Source organism: Homo sapiens, chromosome 7 (assembly GCF_000001405.40).
Source record: "Homo sapiens chromosome 7, GRCh38.p14 Primary Assembly".
NCBI lineage: Eukaryota > Metazoa > Chordata > Mammalia > Primates > Hominidae > Homo > Homo sapiens.
This window is the reverse complement of record NC_000007.14, coordinates 125,430,497-125,443,816: the sequence shown is the minus strand read 5'-3', so window position 1 is coordinate 125,443,816 and position 13,320 is coordinate 125,430,497. Positions and strand designations below refer to the sequence as shown.

General features: G+C 34.2%; 1 long non-coding RNA gene across 1 annotated transcript in view; it reads right to left on the bottom strand.

Moving 5' to 3' along the window:
- Positions 1–5,948, bottom strand: part of LOC100506664 (uncharacterized) — a 28,907-nt gene extending 22,959 nt beyond the window's left edge. The window contains exon 1 of the long non-coding RNA XR_927932.2: positions 5,520–5,948. This is a non-coding gene — a long non-coding RNA (uncharacterized LOC100506664). The remainder of the gene's footprint in view (positions 1–5,519) is intronic.
- Positions 5,949–13,320: the final 7,372 nt, after the last annotated feature.

Here is a 13,320-nt window from a genome sequence, read left to right as displayed (position 1 = left end):
ACTGGCCAAATTTGGTGCAATTTGAGTATTAATATATATAATGGTAGGAACATTATAAACCATTGAATAAAATAGAAAACCAAGTGTTTTCATAAAATTAATTAACTACTTAAAAATTGATGAGCAATGCAGTCAGCTCTCCATATCCATGGATTTCACATCCGTGGATTCAACAAACCAGTGATCAAAAATATTTGAAAAAAATGTTTTTCACCTGTATTGAATATGTACTGACTTTTGTTTGGCATTATTTTCTAAACAATATGGTATAACTACTATTTAAGTAGCATTTATATTGTATCAGGTATTATAAGTAGTATATTAATTGATATGATTTAAAGTATACAGTAGGAAGTTTGTAGATTATATGCAAATACTATGCCATTTTATATCAGGGACTTGAGCATCCATGGATTTTGGTGTCTGCAGGAGGTCCTGGAACCATTTTTCTTAGATATTGAGTGATGGTTTTATTTATATAGTTTCTAATACTGATTGATCACCAGGGCAAAATTAGTAACTTCACAGGAAAAGACCCGGAACATAACACCTTACTTAAATGATGAAAGTGGCCACCATCAGTAATGGAACATGTCAAATTCATGTGCCAATTGGGTGCAATAAGAAGAAAACATCCCTTCTGTAATAATACTCCCTAGGATGCATAACTTGAATCTAATTATAAAGAACATCACATAAACCGAAAGTAAGGGACAGTATATAAAATAACAGGCATATAATTCTCAAATGCGTCAAAGCCATGAATGTCAAAGAAATACTGAGCTCAAGAGAAAATAAGCCTAAAGACACATGACAACAAAAGACAACACAAAATTCTGAGCTAGATTCTCTCCTTATACAGGACATTATTGGAGAATCTGGCAAAACTTCAATGAAGGATGAAATTTAGGTGATAGTAATGTGTCAATGTTAATTTTCTTATTTTGATGCTTTGTATTGTGGTTATGTAGGAGAATGTCCTTGTGTGTGTGTGTGAAATGCATACTAATGTGTTTGTGGTGGGAGGTCTTTGTGCTGCTACAGCAGAGTACCACAGACTGGGTAATTTATAAAGAACAGAAATTTAGGGCCGGGCGCGGTGGCTCAAGCCCGTAATCCCAGCATGTTGGGAGACCAAGATGGGTGGATCATGAGGTCAGGAGATTGAGACCATCCTGACTAACACGGTGAAATCCTGTCTCTACTAAAAATACGAAAAAAAATTAGCCGGGCGTGGTGGCGGGCGCCTGTAGTCCCAGCTACTCAGGAGGCTGAGGCAGGAGAATGGAACCCGGGAGGCAGAGCTTGCAGTGAGCCGAGATCGCGCCACTGCACTCCAGCCTGGGGGACAGAGCGATCCTGTCTCCAAAAAAAAAAAAAAAAAAGAACAGAAATTTATTTTCTGACACTTCTGAAGACTAGGAAGTCCAAGATTAAGGTCCTAGCAGGTTTGGTTTTCTGGTGAGAACTGTTCTCTTCTTCCAAGATGGTTCCTGGATGCTGTGTCCTCTGGCGGGGAGAATACTGTGTCCTCGCATGGCAGACAGTGAAAAAGCAACCAAGCCAAAAATGGCTTGCAGCCTCTTTTGTGTGGGTTTTAACTACTCTCCATAATTCATGTGTTGCAATGTGATACTATTAAGAGATGAGGCTGTTAAATGATGGTTAGGCCATGAGGGTACCTAGATCTTGGAGAAGACATGTTTGAATCATAGCAAGTCGTAATAAGGTATCAGGACATAGGTAACGGCTAATCTTGAAAGGTGTCCCAGGACAATAAGCTCTATGATATCTAGTGATGCAACTGAATAGAATCATCTATTCATAGTATACAAGCATTTACGGGATTTTTTCTTTGTACAGTTTTTTACATTGTTTTTAGAAACTGCACTGCACTTCTGTTCCCATGCCTTTACAGTCTGGGCATGCATAAAATAAAACTTGAAGATTTTATTTTGGAACTAGAATGAGTTACTACTGTTATTTAGGCTGGTTTTGAATTGTTTAGACTAGAAAAATTGACTGATAACAACGAAGTTTACCCTTTACTGATAGGTACACAAAAATCTGTAGTAGGACTACATGTACAGACTGCGTATATCCCATTTATTTCAGTGTATTGAGGAAGAGAGAAGATTATTCAATCAGGACATTATTATGTGCAAGCCATTAACATTAAGAAATTTTAACACTTATCTTTGAGAGAATTTAAAGAGCTGGTTTTTCACAAAATGTTTGAAGAAGGGGTAATGTTATTTTGTTATTGGCTGTCACAAATCTAAAGTTTTCTGACTTACTACTCCTTCATAAGTCACGTTCTACCACAAATCAGGTGTCAATGAGTCTCATCATTGTATTTACCTAGCTGTTATGGTTTTGCATAATGGAGAGTTGGAGAATATCATATATAGTAATGCATGGAGAAAAAAGAAAGTTCAGGAAGTTTAATGACCCCTTCTTGTCTCAGTAGCTGCAGAGCCAATACAACTCAGCTGTCAGAATTCAGTTATTGATTCTCTATTGCTTATAATATGACTTTTCTCTCTTTCCCCATGAGTTTTTCTATTGATATACAAAAATCCATTTTTATATTTATTGAATGCTTACAAAATAAAAAATACTCTGTGATGAACTATAATGATGTAAAGTCCATCAGATAAATATAGACCTTGTTATAAATACTTTGAGAGGAAGAAAGTAGTTTTGTGAGTTTCAGCTAAGAATATATTATTTCCAAATGATAGAATTAACAATAGTTAGATGGTATATAGGATGAATCTTTAAGAATAGATAAGATATTAAATGTAGATTGACAGAGATTGTCATACTAAGAGAGGAAAATGATAAGAATAAGAAAGTCAATTTGAAAAAAAAAAAAATTGGTCAACCACCAAAATGTGGGAAGAGTTTGTATTTCACTTCGGTTGGTAGGGTTCCTGAGACACCAATAGGAACTATGTACAGAAAGCCATATTCTGAGCAGTGTCTGGAAGGCATTGAATGCTAAATTGGGGAGTTTGAACTTATTCTAAAGACTTCTGGAATCTATTGATCTGACACAATCTATGTTCTATTTCAGAAGGATCAATTTGGCATCTATAAAATACTCAGGAAAAGGAATACAGTCAATGAGGAAAATAATTGCGATGCTATTGCAATAGTTTAAGTGTGAGACACTGAGGCCGAATTAAGTTATCAACACTGTCAATAAACAGGATGGGTCAGCTAAAATGCATCAAAAATATAAGATTGATAGGACTTGGCAACAGCTTTGAGGTAAAACAGAAATATGAGGGACTTGTCAAAACCATACAATACTCTCGTACCAAAATACCTAGGATAATGGTGACACTACTAAAGAAAATTTGCTTTAAAGTAGAAAAATTTGGGGAAAGAAGACAGTGAATTCAGTTTGGAATATTAATACTGATTTAGTAGTCCTAGAATATAATGTTCTGACTGCTCTTCATATCTAGAAATGATCTTTTACAGCTACAACCCCGCTGCCCCTCCCAAGTTTGGAAAGATGTGAGTTTCAAGCTGATTTCCATAAGAGATGATGGATTGCCCTGGACTAATCCAAACTTCTCAGTAAGTAAAGCTGATAGTGGGGTGGCTAGCTGCAACTCAGACATTCTCACTTTGGAATTGAGGAGAGCTACTGAAAATGCACATTTTTAAGCTACTGTAGTGTATAGCGATGTTATTTTAGATATTATGTAAAATATGCTGTCTCTCAAAAAAAAAGTTACCTTTTGGGATTAGAACTTAAAATTTTTCCATTAGCAGTATTAGTTTTTGCACTGGACTTTCATTATTAAGAGGTTTGGAGGAAAATTTTCACATTACTCATGACTTTTAATAATATTAGAGGTCAGTGTGGGTTTGCCTTTGGATTATATTTATATATAGAACTTTAATTGGAAAATATGGAAACACAGTAGTATATTTTATCATCCAATTAAAGACTATCCTATCATTTCACTAAACAAAAAATTAAATCAGTTTTGTTTCCAAGGCTATTTTCTCAGACATTGCTATTCAGTCTTAACTGCTGAGTTTTCTGTTATGAAAACAGTCTTATTTTCTTCTTACCCATTGTTGTGGAGAGGAGGATACCCACTTTAAAAGAAAATCTAAGAAAATATTTAAAATTATTTCTCAAAACCTAAATATTTTCTTAATAGTTATTTTAGAATATATGAACATATCAAAACATAATAGAACAATAAAATTTTGTAGTTGTAAGCTTCTTATAATAGCAGGTTAATTTTTTTTGTTTCTTCTCTGCTACACATATGTATATAGCATATAATTAAGAACTTTATCATATTGGAAGTTAGTCATTCAACTCTGGCTTATTCAAATGCTGGGTAAGTGAATGATTACAACATTAACTTTGAAAAGTTAATCATTTTGCATTTGTTTCCTCATTTAAAAAATAAAAATAATAATAGTAAATATTACAACTCCTCATGGAGTTGTAATAATTAAATTAGATTGTATAACACATATGATAATGCTAGATAAATAGTTAATTAGATTGTATAACACATATGATAATGCTAGATAAATAGGAAGTATACAGTTAATTCTAATTGTTGCACCCAATATTGTTGTTGTTGATGTTAACATCATGTATTATTCAGGTACCATATTTCTGAGTCTTTATAAATTACTTACTCTATTTTTCCATCAACACCTATTAGGATTTGATCTATTATGACTTACCTCTTAAATAATACTTGAATGTATACTTTCCTTCCCATCAGTACTCTTGCTGTTATTGTATAGTCTATTACCTTTTACAGCTATTATGGAAATAGCCTTCTAACTCTAAGTTGCAATTATCCAAACTTGACATACAGTTTTATATTTCCACATCTTTATCCAAAAAGAATATTTAAATATCATCATTTAAACCCTATTGTATTACCTCTACTGATTCTGCCCAATCCAGAAGAATACATATAAAAGCAGAAAATATAGATATATTTTAACTCTCTTGTATACAACATGAAAATACCATGTTATTAAAAAAAACTCAACCATTTTCTTTGAAATAAAATGTATCATTGTGAAATTCTGATACTAATGTTGATATCCAAAAACTTAATTTCAAATATTTTAGAATAAAAATGGTGAAATAAAAACTTTGATTGCATCAAAATGGTAATATCAAAACAACATATGCAAATCAATGTATTCCTCTCTTTATTTAATGTGCTAAGTTACCCTTCTCCATTGAAGAAAATTCTATTTATTCATCAAGATTCGACTTTAATATCACTTTCTGCCCAGGCATTTTCTGACTAACCTATTATTTGACTGTGCCCTCCTTTTTGTCCTTGCCCCAAATTTTAATTTACCATTAATGTATTAAACAGTACATCATATTTGTAATTAAATCTTACACATTTGAAGTAGAGATAATTTACTATATTTTTGCATTTTGAATAATAACCTGCCACAACGTATATGCCTGATGAAATGAATATTGAATTGATAAATAAACTTACCAATTCTGAAAAAGATTTTTTCCCATAGTAGAAGAATCAGAATAGGCAGATTGTAATCCTGACCCTCTGTGGCATTTCAGAAAGGCTTTGAAGTCATTTGTCTTAGTTTTTCTCTCCTGCCTTCAGTCTCTGGTAGTTGAAACTCCGGAGTTCCTAGGTAGAAGGGTTTTCTCTCAGCTTTCATGTCCTATCATACCAAGAATTCCCTGGAATAGAAAGAACCTCAAATACATCTTATGGGTTTTTCCAATTTCCTTTACCCTGTCCTTTTCCTTTGTGGTAAGGAGGTGTTGCACTTGGATTAGTTCCCACAAGTCTCCTGGCACATCTTTCTCAGCTTTCTTTTCTGTTCCCCTATGGACATACTTTCACCTAAGTTATATAAAGACCCATGAGTAAGAGGTTGTTGAGTAGATGAAAACTGGTTCTGCCAGAGGAGCCCTTCTAATACCTTCTAATAATCAATCTGGCTACGTGGGGCACGCGCGCGCACACACACACACACACACACACGAAACTATCACGAGTTTGTTAAATGTTAGCTAGTTTCTACTCCCCCTTCACCACTCCCCTATCTGACTTAATGGGTGAAATTCCTCTGAAGTTCTGTTAGAGCTGACAGCCCAGTCTTTTATGACAGTTGTGTCACTTTTTGGATTTCAGTTCATTTAGGAATGTTTGTGGCCTCAGCTCTCTGATATGTTTTGTTTTTAAACTATATGTTAATACCAATGGCATTCTTAAATAGAAAAAAAATCCTAAAATTTATATGGAAACAAAAAAGACCCAGAATAGCCACAGCTATCCTAAGCAGGAGGAATAAAGCTGGAGGCATCACATTGCCTGACTTAAAATTATGCAACAGAGCTATAGTAACCAAAAATGCATGGTACTGGCATAAAAATAGATACATACACCAATGAAACAGAATAGAGAACCTAGAAACAAATCCACACACCTACAATAAACTTATTTTTGACAAAGACGCAAAGAACATATACTGGGGAGAAGATTGTCTCTTCAATAGGTGGTGCTGGGAAAACTGGATATTTATATGCAGAAGAATGAAACGAGACCTCTACCCCTCACCATATACAAAAAATCAAATCAAAATAGATTAAAGACTTAAATCTATGCCCTCAAACTATAAAACTACTCCGAGAAAACATTGGGCAGTGGGGAGGTGGGGATGGTTAATGTGTCCAAAAATAGTTAGAAAGGCTGAATAGGACCTACTATTAATAGCAAAGTAGGGTGATGATAGTCAATAATAACTTAATTGTATATTTTAAAATAACTTAAAGGATGTAATTGGATTGTTTGTAACTCAAGAGATAAACACTTGAGGGAATGGTTACCCCATTCCCCATGAAGTGCTTATTTCAGATTGCATGCCTATTTCAAAACATCTCAGGTAACCCATAAATACACTTACTGTATATCCACAATTTTTTAAATAACTTGAAAATTAAAAAAATAAAATAAAAATAAATGCACTTAATATATAAAAAATAAACTAGATGTTGTAGTTTATTAATCGTTTGTTAATCATTAGGTTAAGACAGATGGTCTCTTGTTTCTAATATTAAACTTAGAATAAAACTGTTTTTTAAATTATTTTAAACATCAAAATATTTATTCTTTTGGCAGGGACTTAGTATTAAACGACACTTCAAATTCTTTAAAAGAAGGTCTTATAGATACCATCCCTTCCTTCATGCCATTTCCTGAGGCTCCACTCAAGTAGTTGTCTTTCACTGGTATTTATTTTCTCATTGCTACAGATTTGATTTTTGCTTATTGGTCCCAGCTTCCTCTGTGCATACTTTGGCTGGATTGTTCACTTGAAACTGGAAGTACCACAGTGCAGCCTTCAGGGTTTCTTTCAGCTAGTTAATGAGTAGTGTGTGTGTCACACACAAGACCAATGTTTGCTCCTTGAAAATTAACTTCAGTTTTATAACCCTGTTAGGAAAACTTACAACTGACTCCATTTCTTGAATCAGACAATAATAGTGCCCACAAGGCATTGCAGGGCCCACACTGGGAGCGAGATCACAGTGATAGTTTCTTCCTTCTTTTTATGAGTGACACCCAACTGTAAGCAATGGTTATAGGTAAAGAAGAAATAATTAAATCTCAGAACCCAGCATTCTCATTTACCAACAGCCAACAAGACAGATGCATTATCTTTTGACTGTATTCACTAGAGATACTGATAACCCAATCCTCTTCCTTCTACATATATGTTTCTACCGGAGTGTTCTAATTTCCAAGTTTCTACTGTAGTGGAGAGAAGGAATGTATGCCTCTCCTATTCCTTTATATTTTCTAGCTAGATGATAATCTGGATTTTTCAACAGCACTAAGTCATGCAACAAAATACCTACCCATGAAATTCAGAGGGTTTGACAGATGACAGCCAGTAACTGGCTATATCACAGATTAACTCATTTCCAAAGAGCTATTCTGGAATAATGACACTCTGTAGACACCATTCTGTGAATAGCTCTTAGGAAACTACATAATGCCCTGGTCTAATCTTCTGCATATTCCAACATTAGAATACATTTTATATGTATGATAGTTATGGCTGGCATTTCTTCCACTTCTTGAGGCTGCTACTACTTGGTTTCCTAACACCCCCCAGGATTATGCATATTCCGGGAGCTTGTGGTGTATGTATATTTTCCATTGACACTTACAGAAGCAACTTTTCTTTCAATTTAATAAAATCAGAGAATTTCACTCTATAGTGGCAACATTCTACATAGATTCTGTCATAGATTCTCACTCTATAGTGCTCCATTATAGGTACACCACTGTGGACATTATTGATCCTTACTTATACTGCAATGGTCACAGTCACAGAAATGTGCACTGTCTCCAAGTTAAATTTCAGCACCAGGGAACTTTTTCAAACTTGAGACAGTGACCAACTGGGATACAATATTCTGGTCCTGACTTTCCCTAATATACTTTGATTCATAAAATCCTTTCGGATAGAGGCCCTCTATTAAAGAGACGCAGTGATCAGTGAAACCAATTCTGTTGAACTGCACAGGAAAAAAATATTAACTCAATGCTTAATATTACACACATGCATCCCTGTCTGACACTTGGATTTTTCTAGTTGTCTTCTCATAAACAATCATATTTTTAAGACTTACAATGAAACTCTACTTCACATTTCTATAATCATAAATTTCGAAGTTTCCTGCTGGTTCTCACCTCACTGGCCATACCTATTCCAGTAATTCTTAAAAAAATGTAATGTGTAGGGGTACTAATTTGAGACAGGAAGACAGGAAAACCCTGCCACCTTTTAAAATCATGCGTTTAATACTTTTCGTTCTTGTCGAATGTGCCCTTCCTCCCTAAACATGAGGATTAGGCATTCTGCAAGTGATTAACAGATTACCTCTCCTATACCTTATTATATTATCTACATTGTTTCCCAATGGCCTAAATCAGCTTCATGTCACTCATGTCTTTAGTAAGTTAGATCTTAAATGTAGTCTGAAGTTTCATTATTAGGGAAGAATGTGCTGAAAAACACCCAGTAGTATTCGACATCACTAGTCTCTTCCAGCCTACGTTTATGCACCTAGTCAATGACATGAAACCCATTTACATTGCACTAGGAATGAGTTATTTTTCAGGAGGTTGCTTTGTTCCCCAAGTAAATATTAATTTCATGAAGACAACCATAAACTGACCTAAGCTTCGGCTTAAACTAGGTCTCCTACAATACATTTATTATAAGCTGCTTCATCTGTTCATTATTTTATCATTCTCACTTGAGATTAAAAGCATTAAGGGAAACCTTCACTCATCCTTGTATATCAAATTTAAGGCCAATTTGTTGCCTATGTAGCAATGAAGGGGAAAAATAGAAGGAGAAAGGAAAGAAAATTTGAGAAGGAAGGCAGGAGAAAAAGGAAAGAGGAGAAAAACAGGGCAGAAAATAAGAAAAAATAAGGGGTAGTATAAGATATAGTGCAAACCTTTTCAATTGTTTCAGAAATTTTCATCATGAGTGTTAAGACATAAGAAAACAACATAACTATTAATGCTTACAACATAGCCCAGAAAATAATGGAACATTTATATAAAAGTAAAACCATTCTATTTGTAAACTAAGTGCCATTGCTGGTAGAAAGCAATAGAGCTTAGGAATTAGGGCAAAAGAAAAATCTTTAAAGAGAGAATCAATGAGACAAAAAAAAAAATGCCATGGTCTGTCAGATTCACATCATCCATTAAGAGATAAGTGAACAAAATCCTGACTTCCAATTCCTTTATATCATCAGTCTGTTAATATTCAATAATTTAAGCCAGAAAACAGAGAAATAGTGTTTTATCTAACAGTTATTAAAGGTTAAAATAAAACAGATGGGGGCATTTGTATGGGCATGTTACGATTCTAACACACAATTTAAATGTTTCTTGACTTTCTATAATATTTACAGAACTGATTTTTTGAGCACCTGGACATAAAGTGAAATCAACTAGATTACACACTTCCCTTTTACCCATGTTCAGAATTTTGTTTTGCTTAGACACAGAGAAACCTTGTTGTTTTGGCAATATAAATGGTTAAGGGTCATCTTTGCAAATCAAATTTTTTTTTCTTTTATAAGGATGATGTGCTTAGCAAACATTCCTCTTAGCTCTCTAGACCACCCATTACATCTTCATTAAAATGAATATCTATCTCTCTCTTCCATTGAGTTCATAAAAATCTTTTGGACTGAGGATAGGGAATCTTTGACACATTTCCAAATGATTTGAGTGCAATTATCCTGACTCTTGTCCTCAGACTGACATTTAGAATCACTCCTCAGAGTTCTGTATTTCCCATGTTAGTCACTATTCCAAAAGCTGATTTCTGGAATCCCATTTCTGGTGTGTTTAGGCATCCTTATTGTCTACCCTACTTCCAGTTTCAAAGAGTTCACATTTTGGCAAGGCCCAACAATGCCCAAATTTAGCAATTACTGAACTCCACTTTCAACATAGTAATCAGGGGATTCTTTTGAATCATATCTGCAATATGTGAGGGCTTAATTCTTCATCCCCAATCAAGTACCCAAATGTATGAAATGGCGAATCTGAAATCCGTGTTGTGATATCTTTGTGAGTTGATTTACCACGGTTTCTACTTAATAAAATTCACCTCCTCCTGTAGCAAAGCCTCGTAGATGGAGTATAGTGCTGACACTCAGCACATCCAGAGTCTGGTGCATGCAACTGTACTGCACTTCTACATAATGAAGTCAACATGGTCAGGGAAGAGAAGTGATTACCCTTTCTCAACCTACTTGCTGCATAGTATGGGATACCTTTTCCCTGTATTATAAACTATTCCTGGAATATTCATATCTAACAGCCCCCATAAATAAGGTAGCAAAATAGAAAGAGAGTAAAATAGATGTGTCTACAATGTTTTATATTTATCACGTGCAAGATAATTATTACATGAAAGACAGTGAGAATTATTACAATGAATCATTATGATCATCTTAATAATTGTGTAGAATCTTCTGGATGAAGATTTTAAAGAACTTGGAACATTTTTAAGATGTCTGAAATCCTTAGGCTTCTGTCAATAAACAGAACTCAGAGCTTAGTGCCAGCTATTTTAAAGAGGAAAGATAAGTCAAGTTTGTAAGACATTTTTAGCTGAGAATCAGGACTGTTATTGTATTAAAGGGAAAATGTCCTTAACAAATTCAAAATTTTATCAGCTGGAAAAGCCAAATGGAAGACATCAAAATATATGAGATCAGATTTTTTAGATTCCACATTTAAATAAGATCATGCCATGTTTGTCTTTCCATGCTTGACTGATTTCATTAACATGATGTTCATTCAGGTTGTCACAAACTATGGGATTTCCTTCCTTTTATGGCTGAATAACAATCTGGTTGTGTGTATATACCATGAGATAATACATTTTTTAATTAGCTAAGTTTATGTATTTACCACATATGTGTACTTCAAAACATTACGTGGTACGTGATAAAAACAAACAATTGTATATGTCAATTTAAAAATAAATAAATGTGAAAAAATACATATGAGAGCTATATAGAAAACATGTGTATTTTATTTTGGTTTTTAACTAGAAGTTTTGAGAAACTTAAAGAGCTTCCACAATGTTTTCTGCAAATAGGAACAAAATGTGGGAGAGTTGAGGAATATATCGAGTATATGGTAGAGATTGCAGAATACTATGAAACAGAAGGCCGAACAGGGACACACACATCTTTTATTCAGATAAAACCACTAAGTGATTTAGAAGTACAATTGGTTGATCAAGTAACTTTTAAAGATATTGCACTTTATGTGGCAAGAACTGGAGTTAGCATCCCGTCACTTGAATACATAGATGAAAACTTAAGAACAAGATAAACTATGACTGTGAACTCCTTTCTTCATTACTATTAAGCATTAAAATGTTGTTACATAACCATATGGAACAATGTTAAAAGGACTCAATAGTTACGCTTATGTTAGAAATTTATATGCTATGCATAACAATAGAAAATAGAGAATAAAAACATATACATACATTTCATCCCATTAAACATACAGTAGAACTAATTAATTGAAATGGTAGGAGTGTATTAGGCAGGGTAAGTAAATTTCTGTAACATTCATTCCAAAATTACATGGCTACTTGTGTACTTCACACTCACCAAGAATTCAATTTATGTAATTGGCAGATGACTTCACACACAATGATTCAGAGACTCAAGCTCCTCCATCTTGTGGTATTTAACCTCCTTTAGGTCCTTGAAGTCCATTTTGCTCAGTCAACGAATGGGAAAAGATAATTTTAGAGGTGACTTGTATGGATTAATCCTGGGAGACAAGTGCATCAGTTTTGCTCAAATTCCATGGAAACACAAAACTAACTGTGGCAGGCAAATATGCTCTAGCTCTGTAATCAGGAAGAAGAGGAAAACAATTTGGTATGAATGTATTCAATCTTAGCCATCGGGAGAGAGTTAAATTAAAAGTTTCTTTCTTATTAAGTGTATTTATGACATAAATCATAAATTTTAGGAGTTAATTCAACAGATGATACATTGAAAATCACATGTATCCAAGATAAATTACCTCATATGCACACATAATTTGTTCCACTGTGTAGTTTTTGCACTCTCTGTTGATGCCTAGTCCATGGTTAGCAAAGAATATTTTTTACTTGAAAAGTTCATTACCAATAATTCTTACTCTTCATATGCATGAAAGGCTAACAATATAATTTCAACAAGTCAATAAATATGGCTTTTAATAACTTGCCAGGGTTCTGCAATGGATATTTGAGTCAAAGCAAAGGATTTACCTTTTTTTTTTTTTTTTAGCTAGTAAAAGTATTTAAAAATATGGAAATATGCTTAAGGGATATGGTATGACTGAAAACCATGTTAAAATAAAAAAAATTATTTACATTTCATAAAAAGGTTATCCTAATTTTTACTTATCTGCAATTGGTTAGAGTAGAAAATGTAATGTATTAATAATAGTAGCTGTATTAGTTCATTCTCACACTGCTATAAATACCTAGGCCGGGCATGGTGGCTTACACCTGCAATCCCAGCACGTTGGGAGGCCAAGGCGGGCAGACTGCCTGAGCTCAGGAGTTCGAGAACATCCTGGCTAACATGGTGAAACCCCGTCTCTACTAAAGATACAAAAAATTAGCCGGGCGTGGTGGCATGCACCTGTAGTTCCAGTTACTTGGGAGGCTGAGGCAGAAGGATCACTTGAACCTGGGAGGCGGAGGTTG